The sequence below is a fragment of the Homo sapiens genome, chromosome 4 (assembly GCF_000001405.40).
Source record: "Homo sapiens chromosome 4, GRCh38.p14 Primary Assembly".
Taxonomy (NCBI): Eukaryota; Metazoa; Chordata; class Mammalia; order Primates; family Hominidae; genus Homo; species Homo sapiens.
The window spans coordinates 142,181,656-142,194,183 of record NC_000004.12 but is presented as its reverse complement, the minus strand read 5'-3'; the positions used below and the strand labels follow the sequence as shown (position 1 = coordinate 142,194,183).

Sequence of the window (12,528 nt, the reverse complement as noted above, 5' to 3'; positions counted from 1 at the left end):
CTTTCACTTGAAGACTTTTTTTATTGAAAGAAAATTTTAGATGCATCTGGATTGAACTACTCTGAAGAAGTTATGGTATTTACCTGAAGCTAATAAAATAATTTATGTTTTCCTCGTAAATGAGATCTGAAGAGCAACCAAAGTGTCAATAGCAAAATCAATTTGAAAAGGATCTACTATGAAATTAGGTTTCTCAAATAAAATGTAGTTTAGCAAGAAAGCATTCACTGTCTTCCTTCTTATGGGGATACTTTGCATTAGAATGTAAAAATGATGGCATGTTTTGAAGCCATAAACTTAATATGTATCAAACTTCATGGCTTTCAAGATCAAAGGATTAAGTTTCAATTTAAGTGTATGGATTTTTTGTTATAAAAACAAAGTGTCTTACTAGAAAACAGAACAAGAAACATTTTGTGTATTCTTTCTATGTCACCTAAGGAAATTGCAAAAGCATCTATTTGAAATTGTGTAAAATTTAGTATACACAATCAGGAAAGTACTCTGTATAGATTTTTTAAAATGCACTAGTACTAATCTGCCCTTGAGTCAAAATGCTTAATATTTTGGGTTTTTTTTCTATGTAAAATTTGGTTGAAAGATTGTTCGTTATTGTTGAATTTCAACATGATTGCAAATTAAATGATGCAAAACTCAATGAAGTAAAATACACAAAAGAGCAATTAACATGTTATCTCAGTAAGTATATAGAATAATGAGAGAACACACTGTTCTACACTGTAGCATGTAATTAAGATGTAGTCATAAATCAGGAAAACATTATATCTTGTTTAGGTGCACAGGTGGCTTTTAGAAAGATTGATTATTAGCTCCTCTTTCCCCCTTGAGATGTGAGTTCATAGTTATTCCTAAAAAATTAAACAGAATAATTTCTCATACTTCCTACAATAGGTATGCTTCAATGCAAACAGCATGACGGAGATAAATGTTTGCAAAGTGTTCATCTCCTTGTCTGTTTCTACTCCAGATGCTCTCTACGATGTCATCACTGTGGGAGCCCCAGCTGCCCATTTTCAGGGATTTAAGAATGGTGGTCTTCGGAAGCTACTCCATAGATTTGAAACAGAAAGAAGAAAGTAAGTAAAGACAGGAGGAAAGCACAGATTCCATTAATAACATCTCCCCTTTGGGGAAGTCTATATACAAGGTGATTGGTCCATCACAATGTATAGTTCTTGACATCTTAACCTATTTAGTAACATAGAGTTGTTAAATATCTCAAAACTACCAGAGAAGAAATTAGATTAAACAAATTGCCTAAGTGTCTTGCTTAGTTAGTGGCATTGTGATGGCAGAAAATCTTCTGGAAGTCATATGACTAAGGGGTGATATTCTAGTGTCAACTATTGCTTGCTCAAAGGAGTGTTCAGAGATTTAGCTAGAAATACAGTCTGACTTCACTGTGGAGCCAAAGATACTGAATGGAGAATATGGCTCCTAATTTATGATTTTTACCCTACTAGTAATTTCCATGCTGGCCTGAGGCACATTTAATTGTGCCACTTGAAAAAGACACAACAATACAGAATTCTATGTTCTGTTTCTTAGGGAAAGGCATGAGTATTACCACTATTATTTATAATTTTGATATACTCTTTCCCCAGTTTTTGTTTTTACATGCTTTTAAATATTGCCTTATAAAGCTTTTGCAGCAGTAGTTTATTATTCTCCCCCATGTCTTATCAGTTGGGGTTATCCTATAATATTCTCTGGCTATGACCACGCTCATGTAAAACATAAAGTGCATTATCCAGGTATGAAGAATAACTACTTTCCTTTTCAAATAGTTATTCTTCTTAAGAATCCCATTTTTTTTTTTTTTTTTTTTTACTTTTAGATTCCAAGGGTATGTGTGCAGGTTTTTTTCTTTCTTTTTTTTTTAACCATGGTGAATTGCATGTTACAGGGATTTGGTGTACAGGTTATTTTGCCACCGAAGTAATAAGCGTAGTATCTAATAGGTAGTTTTTCAATCCTCACCCTCCTCCACCCTCCACCCTTAAGTAGGTCCTGGTGTCTGTTGAAGAATCCAAATTTTGAAAGTTAGGGAAAAATAGTCATTCTTTAGTCACAGTTGATTTAGTAATAGTATTAGAAAACCTGTTTGAGTGCCAAAACCAGAAAATTTTTTAACGTTTTATCACATTTATCAAATATAAAATTTGTTTTTTGGTGCCCAGATGTTTAGGAAGAAAGCATTTAAAGGAGGTTAGAATTGAATAATTGACTTACTATTATACAAATATATAAACTACCAATACACATATATTTTTCTTTTTTCCTTTTAAGGAATTGACTTTGGTACAATATTAACTCAGTTGTAGTTCTTATTCTGATTTTTCTAGTTTTTTGTTCATTTTTGTTTGCTTTTTGGTGGGGAAAGGTTTATAGTTTTATAAAATTATATTGCATGGGTAGATTAGAATAACCATCACTATTATAAACATCATATAGAACTGTTTCATCACCACAAAGAAACTCCCTCAGGTTACCCATTAATATTCACACCCTTCTCACAAATATTATTGCAATGGGGAGTGGAAGCCAAAGTTTCAACCATGGGCTCTGCAGGGGAGAGGCATCTCCTATTTACTTTATGGGAGTTGGAAGTTAATTCAAACCATAGGCCCCATGGGGGAAGGGATGCCATCCCTACTGATGTGGGGGTATGAGTGGAAGACAGGGTTTTGCCCATGGAATCTGAGTGGGGATGAAGGGTGTTTCTCACTGATTCCCTACTGTACCATTCTTCTAGTGGGGGAGGAGCATGACATTTTTGTGGTATTCACCCCCAGAACAGGTTGGTATGGCTGGGCCACCCTGTTCCAGGTTCTTTGGCTTTCCCTGGGTGCTGTTTTTTGTTGGTGCTTTGCTGCATTGAGAAATTCTGTGGCACCCAGTTTGGGACATTATAGAAGGCAAGAAAAATCCCGTGGAACTCACTGTAATATCATTGCTTAAGTCCTGAGGCCCCTAACCAATATACCTCCTTTAGTCTACCTTTTAGAGTCTTTTGATAGGTGACATATATGTTTTGTCTAGAGTGTTTCATTGTGATTAACAGGGGAAGTAAAATAGATTGCATTTACTTCATCTTGTCTGGAACTGTGTCTCAGTCTTGAGAGTTGACTTAATCTATTTTTTTTCCTCAATTAAATTTTAAAGTGTATAACCCAATTAGAAGACTCAAAACTGCCCATAGGGTAGTCAGAATCCTGTTGAGCATAGAAAGCATCAGTATGTGAAATATGGAACCTAACCCTCTAATTTTATGAAACATATTTCTGTTAAAGACAACTGTTGAGTTCTGTGGTTAGACTCTGAATAATATTTCTTAAGGTTTAAATATTTGCATAAATATTTTCCTTCATTTTTCTTCACTTTTCACTGGGATGTTACATATCAACACACACGCGCACACACACACACACACACACACACACACTCTTACAGATCTTGGGTTAATTTTAAGATAAAAGTAGAAACATGTTCAATGCTTGCAAACACTGATTGCTTTAAATTTTTCATTTGTGTTTCATTGCTTTATGGATAAAATACAATAAAGATTTTAAAAGAAATAAAAAACAACTTTGTGGATCTTAAAAGAATTCTCCATAGGGCAGTGGTTTGAGACAAATACAGCTTGCTGAGGCAATATACTGGTGAGCATGGCTATCAGCCTACCCGTTAAATTAAGAGCTGACTTGAGCAGAGACTTAATGATTACAGAGTTATCGCACCATGCCAATACTTTTTCTGCAGGCTTTTTCAGCAACAAATATTGCACGTCAGTCAACAGCAATGTATAGAAGTAAAAATGACTATATGAAATGAGTAATTTGGGCTTTAGGTTAAAGTAAACAGTGACATTTTGCAGGACATGAAATCACAAGTGAGGAAATTTTTCTTTGCCTCATCTTTCATTTGATATTGCCCCCCACCAAAAAAAAAAAAACAAAAATAAACAAACAAACAAATAAAAAACCCAGATAGCCAAGTCTTTTAGACCAGGTTTTTTGGGAACTACCACAGCCACTGTACTATTTCACCTTTGTTTATTTTTTTCTCAGCTAAGCCAATAAAATACTGTCATCTGAGAAAAGATATAATTTATGTCCCTTGATGATCTCTTTTGTGATTAATACATTGGCCACATAATGAAAAGGGTTTAGCATAAGAACATTGCTTATAGTATTTATATAAAGCAATTCAGGTCATACAACCATATTTATTAAAATTACAAGATAATTAGGGAGACTGAACTTTTAAAGCACAGTTTCTGAGTACCTTACTCTTGTGCTTAGGAACTTTGAGGAGTCCATACTTATCCACTGGGCATTCAAAGCATCCATGATTTTGCCCACCAGTGTCTACCCTCATCACCCACTTCTTCTATTGTTGTTTCTAAAACGCTATATAAACTATTTCCTAAGTGGGCTTCATGTATTTATACCTTTTCCTTTTTCCTCGTTCTGTTTCCTTTTATTCTGTTCTCCTCATTTTCTACTATTTTTCATTTCTTTCTGTGAAAGCCATTTACATAATCCTATTCAAAATTCTACACATGGTCCATGTGAAGATTTCACCCTTATAATTAGGCTTTCCTGATTTTTCAAGTTGATTTGGCTCTCCTCCCTAATATTTTACTTTTGCTTCTCTTGTAGCCTTACTAGGCCACAGTAATGTATTAGGTTTTTTTCTTGTATGCCGTTTCTGTAATACATTGTGCTTTTCTTGAATAAGAGATGGAGCACCTTGTATATATAAGTATGCTATAGATCAAATACAACAGGCATTGGAATTCACATAGAAATCAGATATAGTTGCTGACTTAAAAGTGCTAAAAACTAGAATGGGAGAAAAAGTTTCACAAATAATCATAATGCAATAAGATTAATAATATAGAGAGCAGGGGTTACCAACCTTGGCTGCCCACTAGAATCACAGACCACTGCAAACAACAACACAGAGCTAAAGAAGCCTTGTCACCTATAAGATCAGTGGTTACACAGTCACAGGGCAAAAACTCTGGGACTGAGAAGTTTTCTTACTACTGTAAGGAGGAATAAGGGTAGATATTTTCTTATTCTCTATTATAAATAGGAGACTTTTTGCATAAAAAGGGGAAAATCATATCAGGCAAATAAGCTGTCCATAACCTATAACATAGTAGACATCCGATAAACCAGGAATGGGAGAACTAGAGGCAAAACCTTATACTGTTACCTTTGAAATGTGTTTTTCTGATAGAATTATTAACCACTAATTAATTTGGGAGATGCAAAACATAAATTCACATTTCTATGCCTTCTCCAGTAACAAATGAGCAGACTAATCACTAGTTACAAAAATATTTGTTTTAATCACCTTCACTTCCATTCTTAAGAATAAAAATTTTTATTTCTTTTTATGAAAGAGAGAGAGTGATTTGAAAGCATTCAATGAAAGCAATGTGATCATATTATTTGATTGGGGATGGTAATTCTTTTTTTCCCTACTTGGATTTTTTTTTTTCTATTTCTAGCATGATCCCTAGACTCCACTTAGACCTTTGACTTGTCAGTCACTGACAGTGCAATTTGGAGTCTAAGATCTTAACTATGCTTACTATTTTGTATGAACTCATAAGTCAAGCTATATATATTTTTTTTCTTTTTTTTTTTTTTTTTTTTTTTTGAGATGGAGTCTCACTCTGTCGCCTAGGCTGGAGTGCAGTGGTGCGATCTTCGCTCACTGCAAGCTCTGCCTTCCAGGTCCACACCATTCTCTTGCCTCAGCCTCCCGAGTAGCTGGGACTACAGGTGCCCGCCACCATGCCTGGCTAATTTTTTGTATTTTTAGTAGAGCCAGGGTTTCACCGTGTTAGCCAGGATGGTCTCGATCTGCTGACCTCGTAATCCACCCGCCTCAGCCTCCCAAAGTGTTGGGATTACAGGCATGAGCCAATGTGCCCGACCAAGCCATATATATTTTAAGTAGAAATACTTTGATCCTTTATTGATATATATTTTAATAAATAATTTAACTGATAATTTTCCAGTTTTGTAAAGAAATATGCTTATTGGAAAATGGAAAAATCAAAAGACAGAGATTAAAATCATACTTGTAATATTCCTCCTTAACAGCAATTACTGGTAGCATACTGGGTGCTCTCTTCCAGTCTTTTTTTCCCACATATAATCTACATCCTTATATTTTTTTCTGTTAAAAATTTGAAACGGCAAAACTGTTTAAAATGACTAATTTTAAAGTTATATACATAATATAGGCCAGGCATGATGGCTCATGCCTGTAATCCCAGGACTTTGGGAGGCCGAGGCCAGTGGTTGGCTTGAGCTCAGGAGTTTGAGACCAGCCTGAGCAACATCGCAAAACCCTGTCTCTACAAAAAAAGTGCAAAAATTAGTCAGGCTTGGTAGTATGTGCCTTTAGTTCCAGAAACTTGGGAGACTAAAGTGGAAGGATCACTTGAGCCTGCAAGGTGGAGGTTGCAGTGAGCCAAGATCACCCCAGTGCACATCAGCCTCTAGGTGACAGAGGGAGGCCCTGTCTCAAAAAAAAAATGTGTGTCTGTGTGTGTGTGTATGTGTGTATATATATATGGTATGCAAATGTATATATATTTATATATAGATAGATATACACACACAGACACACACACATACACATAATATGAATATAATACTCTTCATTTATAAAACAACTTTCATCTTTGTGTTTCGTTGGAAGTCATTCCCAATACTCCAAATTTAAAAATGTCAGTCTCGTAGGCTATAGCTAAAATTTATCTCCTATTCATTTTCAATATTTCAATAAAGTATATTTCAATTAAAATATACTTTATTTTTTTCTTTTCAGAAAGAACATTCTCTGTCACAAAATTTTCTTTTAAAAATTATGGTAAAATTACATGGGCACTCTAGAAATAAGAATAATTTAAATAAAAGCCCCTGTCAGTTCCTTTTTTTCTTTTGGACTGTGTTCAGTAGCTGACAATATATCATTTTGAAGGAGATGGTAATTAAAGTTTTTCTTTTGATTATAATTTGATTCCTTGGGAGTACATTTTTTTTTTCCTCCTGTGAGTTAGTTCCTTGTTGGCTACTCTCAGCTCTTAACTGTTCATATTTTGGCAAATACGGGCTAGGTCTGCCAAAACTGCCCACCAGGTTTCTCTTCTCCATGTGGACTTTCCTATATACAACTCCTTGTATATAACACCAAATCTTCATAGAGAGAGAGTAAAGTGCTTTTAATTAAGTAGTCATGCTGAGGCTTGAACATACTGTATGAAGTAAATAATGAGGCCTGCAAAGCTTTGAACTAAATGTGGTACTAAGTAAATGGAAGGATTTTTGCTCAATTTCACATGATCCTGAGTGAATTTGTAATAAGTGAATTTGTAATGCAGTTTTTCCTCCTTTTTTATTTTCATTGTAGCTGTATACAAAAACAAAATTTGTTTATGGCCCACAAATTCAAAGAATAAAGAGGCTTGTATAGTTGAAATCCTACCTGTTCTAGTCCTCTTCTTTAAAATAAACCAATCTGAGCAGTTTAATCTATTTTGCAGCAAGATTTCGTCTTGTAATGTCAAATTATTTAAGTTTTAGCAGTGATTCTCTTAGCCCACAAACACAAATGTTGAGAATGTAATGTTCTTGACTTTTCTGTAACTCTGTTTAATTTTTCTGTCCTCCATTCTGGAACAGGCAGAAACTTTCATCTCAGACAATTCATAGACTCCGCTCCCAGTGTAGATTTGAATTCTGATTGTCACATACTGTCTTTGTGACATTAGTCAGATTACCACACCTTTCTGTACCTTAGTTTCCTCATCTGTAAAGTGGAAATAATAGTGCTTACCCCAGAGGGTGGTTTCCAAAATTTGATGAGTTTATATATGCTAAGCATTTATAACTGTGCCTGGCACATGATGAAGTCTTAATCGATATTAGCTATTATTTATGTAAATATATAGAAAGGATATATTTCCACAAAAAATGTTTAGGCAGTTTCTCAATTTAGTGCATGTAAATCTTATTCTTTCTGAAAACTAAGTAGGATTTTATTGATTGGATTTAACATAATTATCTAACCAATACACCATTGATGGTCATTTAGATTGTTTCTAAGTTTTTGATTAGAACCACCTGCGCTTGCAAGGTATATCCTTATTCATATATCTTTGCAAATTTCTAGGTGTTTCTTCTAGATAAATTCCTACATTTAGTATAACTACACTTAGTTAAGAGGACTTCTTTTTTTTTTTTTTTTATGTTTTGAGATGGTGTCTTGCTCTGTCGCCCAGGAGGTAGTGCAGTGGCGCAATCTCGGCTCACTGCAAGCTCCGCCTCTCAGGTTCACACCATTCTCCTGCCTCAGCCTCCCGAGTAGCTGGGACTACAGGCACCTGCCACCACGCGCGGCTAATTTTTTGTATTTTTAGTAGAGACAGGGTTTCACCGTGTTAGCCAGGATGGTCTCTGTCTCCTGACCTCGTGATCCACCCGCCTCGGCCTCTCGAAGTGCTAGGATTACCGGCATGAGCCACCGCGCCCGGCCAAGAGGACTTCTTTCTTAACTAAGAAACTAAGATTTCTTAGTTAAGAGGTAGTTAAATTTTAGAAGTAATACCACCAAAAAGTTGTATTAATATGCATAATATGCCTAATTTCTCATTCAGTCTTGAGTACTGAGTTTGGATATTATTCACGTGTGAAGTAGAAGTATGGCTGATGAGATATATATATATATATATATACACACACACATACACATATATATTTATAAATATATATCTAGCAGGTAGCTCCACTTTACTCATATCTTCCATACACCTCAAGATTGAGATATTGAATCATTTTGCATCCCTTTGGCTCTCAAACTTGCTTCTTTTGGGGGTTATTTTCCTTAATAAAAAGGTATGACCATCCACCCCACTGTTCAATGTAGCACCTGAAAATCCTTGACAACTTTTTCTCCCTTGCTTTCACTTAAAATTAATTTACTTTCTTATATATCTGGAAGTTATGCATTTTAATAATGAAACATGGGTTAAGATAATCCTAGCACATAGAACCACTGTCTTTTAAATATTCTACTACCAAACCTCTTAATTACCGTCCTTCCTTCCAGACTGGCTCTCATCCAATCAGTTATCCTTATCTTGGTTGGAATTATATTTCTTAAAGGCAAATATTCTTGTGTTTCATAATTTTAAAAATTTCTTTGCTGCCTCTTGCTTGCAGGAGAAAATCTAAGGTGCAATAATATATACATGTGTTCTGGCCATGGTTTCTTCTCCAGCTTCATCTTGCACCATGACACCATCATCTTTCCCTCCCCTCTACCCTCCATAGTGAACCAGAAGAGAACTTTCTCACCACCACAGATCTTAACTTAAAATCATTTCTGCCTGGAAGCTTCTTCTGACTCCTTGTCTAAGCCAAGTCTGCTTTAAGTCTCCAGTGTACAAAATCCCTCTAGACTGTATGTGCTCTGAGAATATGAAACATGTCTGTCCAGTTTACCACAGTATCCCCAGGACCTAACTTGAAAAGAGTTTGATGAATGGATATATATATGGGGGAATGAATGAGTAACATCAAAGTGTTGCCTGCCATAAGAATAAAGGGAAGAACCAATGACTATGCCTGCAGAAGAGATCAGTGTGATAGAATTAGGTAGCAGACACAGAGACTTTTTGTGGAATTAGGAAAAAGAAACAGAAACAAAAAGACACTTGTGGAAAATGTCTTATAGGCTTTGAAAACAACTATTTGGCAGGTATAACATTAGTGTTTCCTTGCACCTCACTAGCTAGGGAAAATATACTTTTACGTCTTCCGAAAGAAGAAGGGAGACAATTTATATAAAGATGGCTAACTTAAAAACCTGATTCAATATCAGTAATGCAATAGTGACTTTAACACCTCCAAGTTGTGACATTCTTCCAACAACCTGTCCAAAAGCTTGTGAGGCAAAGAATGATCTGATATTTAGGCAAGAGGCACTATATATAGTGTGACAGTTCAGAATTTTAAAAAATTGAATATTTATTTTAAAGGAAATGACTTTAATTGTAAATGACAAAATGTGTTTGCTAAACTGTCCCCAAATTTTTAATGATATCAAATTTGGTGAAGAAGGCAGTCTGAAAATGACAAAATACATAACCACTCTTGGATTTTCTTGTCTTCACTATAGCTGTGGCTACATGTGTACACCTAGAGATATATCAGAAAAAAAAATCAACAAGAAGATTAGGGTTTAAAAGTAAAAATGTTAAGTCTAATATGAAAATTACAGAAAAAATACATTTTGTCTGTTTATTTTTAAAACTAAATATATAAAGATAATATGATTTGAGGATTTATTTTCTGTAAATTAGAAGTTACGTTTCTCCTTTGCTGCAAACTGAAACAACATTTTAAACCATGACACAGTATGTTATCTCAGAAGTATTCACTGAATCCAAGGAGGAACTTTTGAACTTGTTAAACTCCAAGTGATTTCCAGAATATTTTTAAAGCTGTCTGTTGTTCTAGATATTTAATAGTCATCATTGCAAAGGCAGCATACAGCAGAAAAGTCATCTATAAATAAATTGCCAGTCATCTACAAATAAAATATACTATATTTTTCAGAGCTTTGAAAGCTAAGTGTAGAACATCTCAAACTTTAAAAAAATGTACATATGGAATTTATGTCATGGAAAAATCAAACACTTGGCTGTGTTACATGATATAAATACTGTTATTGCAAGATCTTTATTAGAGGGGACTTTGCCTGAATTATTTCAATGTCCTCTTCCTTGTGATGAGGCTTACATTAATAATTGATTATTGTGGTAACCCCATCAGAGAAGGAAGATGGATTGGCTTATAGTGTCAGCACAGATGGAGAGAAGATAAATTACAGAGGTATTTAGGGGCAACTTGGGGGTTGTATGTGTGTTAGGAGTGGAGGTAAGAACCCAGAGGTATCAAGGAAGACTCCCACATACATCTGGGGAATGATAGTGCCATTCACTGCCCCTTGGCTTATAAACTCCAGCAACACAGAGCAGCTTCTAGAGTGTAGGAGAGTATGAAAGGACGTTAGGCTGGGCAGGGAGCAAGGACCAAATCTTAAACAATTATTTGCTATGTCAGCTCCTGGCAGTTCACCCTATAGGCTATGGATACTGCAATTGGTAGGTTTTCAGCTGAAGATTGCCGTGATCATAGTATTTGGAGTGACAGTGTAGAGAGAACAGAAGAATGGCAAACAATTAGACTATTATAATAGTTGCATGAGGGAAAACAGGTACCTGGGGAGTTGAAGATTTTAAGGAAATATCTAACAGAATTTACATCCAGTTGGCTGAGGGCTTGAGGGAGCCTGGGCAGGATTGAAGGACTCTTAGGTTTCTGGTTTCTATAACCGGGTAAATGCCAAGACAGCTGAGAAAGGGGATACAGGAAATAAGCCATTCATTTCCATTGCTTAATTAATAAGGTCAGTTGTTTATACTCCATTAAAGAGACATTTTGAGAAATAAGAAAATAATCATGTTGAGTCCGTGCTGTTTTTCACATTAAGAATCTTTTTTTTGTTTGTTTTTTTTTTTTTGAGACAGAGTCTCGCTCTGTCACCAGGCTGGAGTGCAGCGGCGTGATCTCTGCTCACTGCAAGCTCCGCCTCCCGGGTTCAAGCAGTTCTCCTGCCTCAGCCTCTCAAGTAGCTGGGACTACAGGCACCTGCCACCACGCCCGGCTAATTTTTTGTATTTTTTGTAGAGATGAGGTTTCACCGTGTTAGCCAGGTTGGTCTCAATCTCCTGACCTCGTGATCCGCCCACCTCAGCCTCCCAAAGTGCTGGGATTATAGGCGTGAGCCACCGTGCCCGGCCAAGAATCTTTTAAATCATAGAACTTAGAGAGGATCCCAGAGACCATGAATTCTCCTACTTATTTTATTGATGAAAATACCAAGGACCAACGATTGAGTCACCAATGCAGCTAATGACAGAACCAGAGCTAGAAAATTAGACTTCTGTCCTTAGTCTCAAGTTCTTCTTCCATACTCATTTACCCTCAAGCAGTCAAAAGATGTTCAACACATGACATCCTCTTAATAAGTGTGCAATGTTAGCTTAGGAAGGGATTTTGCTATCCACCAGAGAGAAATAAAATGTAGTTGGTCTAGTCAATTCCTTATGGGTCTTTAAGAGAATATAATTTTTAAAATAAATTATTTGTGCTATTAAAAAACATGTGAATTGATGTGGTGATTTGCACTCAGAGTCAATTACTATATTAATCTGCCTAAAATCGTTCTGCCTAGTAGTCAGTAAAAATATTTTTAAAGCTCCAGCCTTATCAGTTTTCTATCTGCAGCCCTCTCAAATACACTTAAGGAACACCACTTTTTTAGGAATATGGCCACAATAAAAATAAAAGAAGTAAATTTCTCGGAGTTGTTCAAAGATTACCATTCATAATAGTAAAATATTATAAGCAT

At 35.6% G+C, this 12,528-nt stretch overlaps 1 protein-coding gene across 64 annotated transcripts in view; it reads left to right on the top strand.

Moving 5' to 3' along the window:
- The window catches only part of INPP4B (inositol polyphosphate-4-phosphatase type II B), an 823,376-nt gene that overhangs the window by 652,352 nt on the left and 158,496 nt on the right, over positions 1–12,528 (top strand). For all 64 annotated transcript variants that reach the window (NR_169617.1, NR_169615.1, NR_169599.1 and 61 more), the window contains one exon: positions 989–1,097. Coding sequence is in view for 54 of the 64 variants with exons in the window: in NM_003866.3 (NP_003857.2) it covers positions 989–1,097 (109 nt within the window). In the remaining 10 variants the exon portion in view is untranslated. The remainder of the gene's footprint in view (positions 1–988; positions 1,098–12,528) is intronic.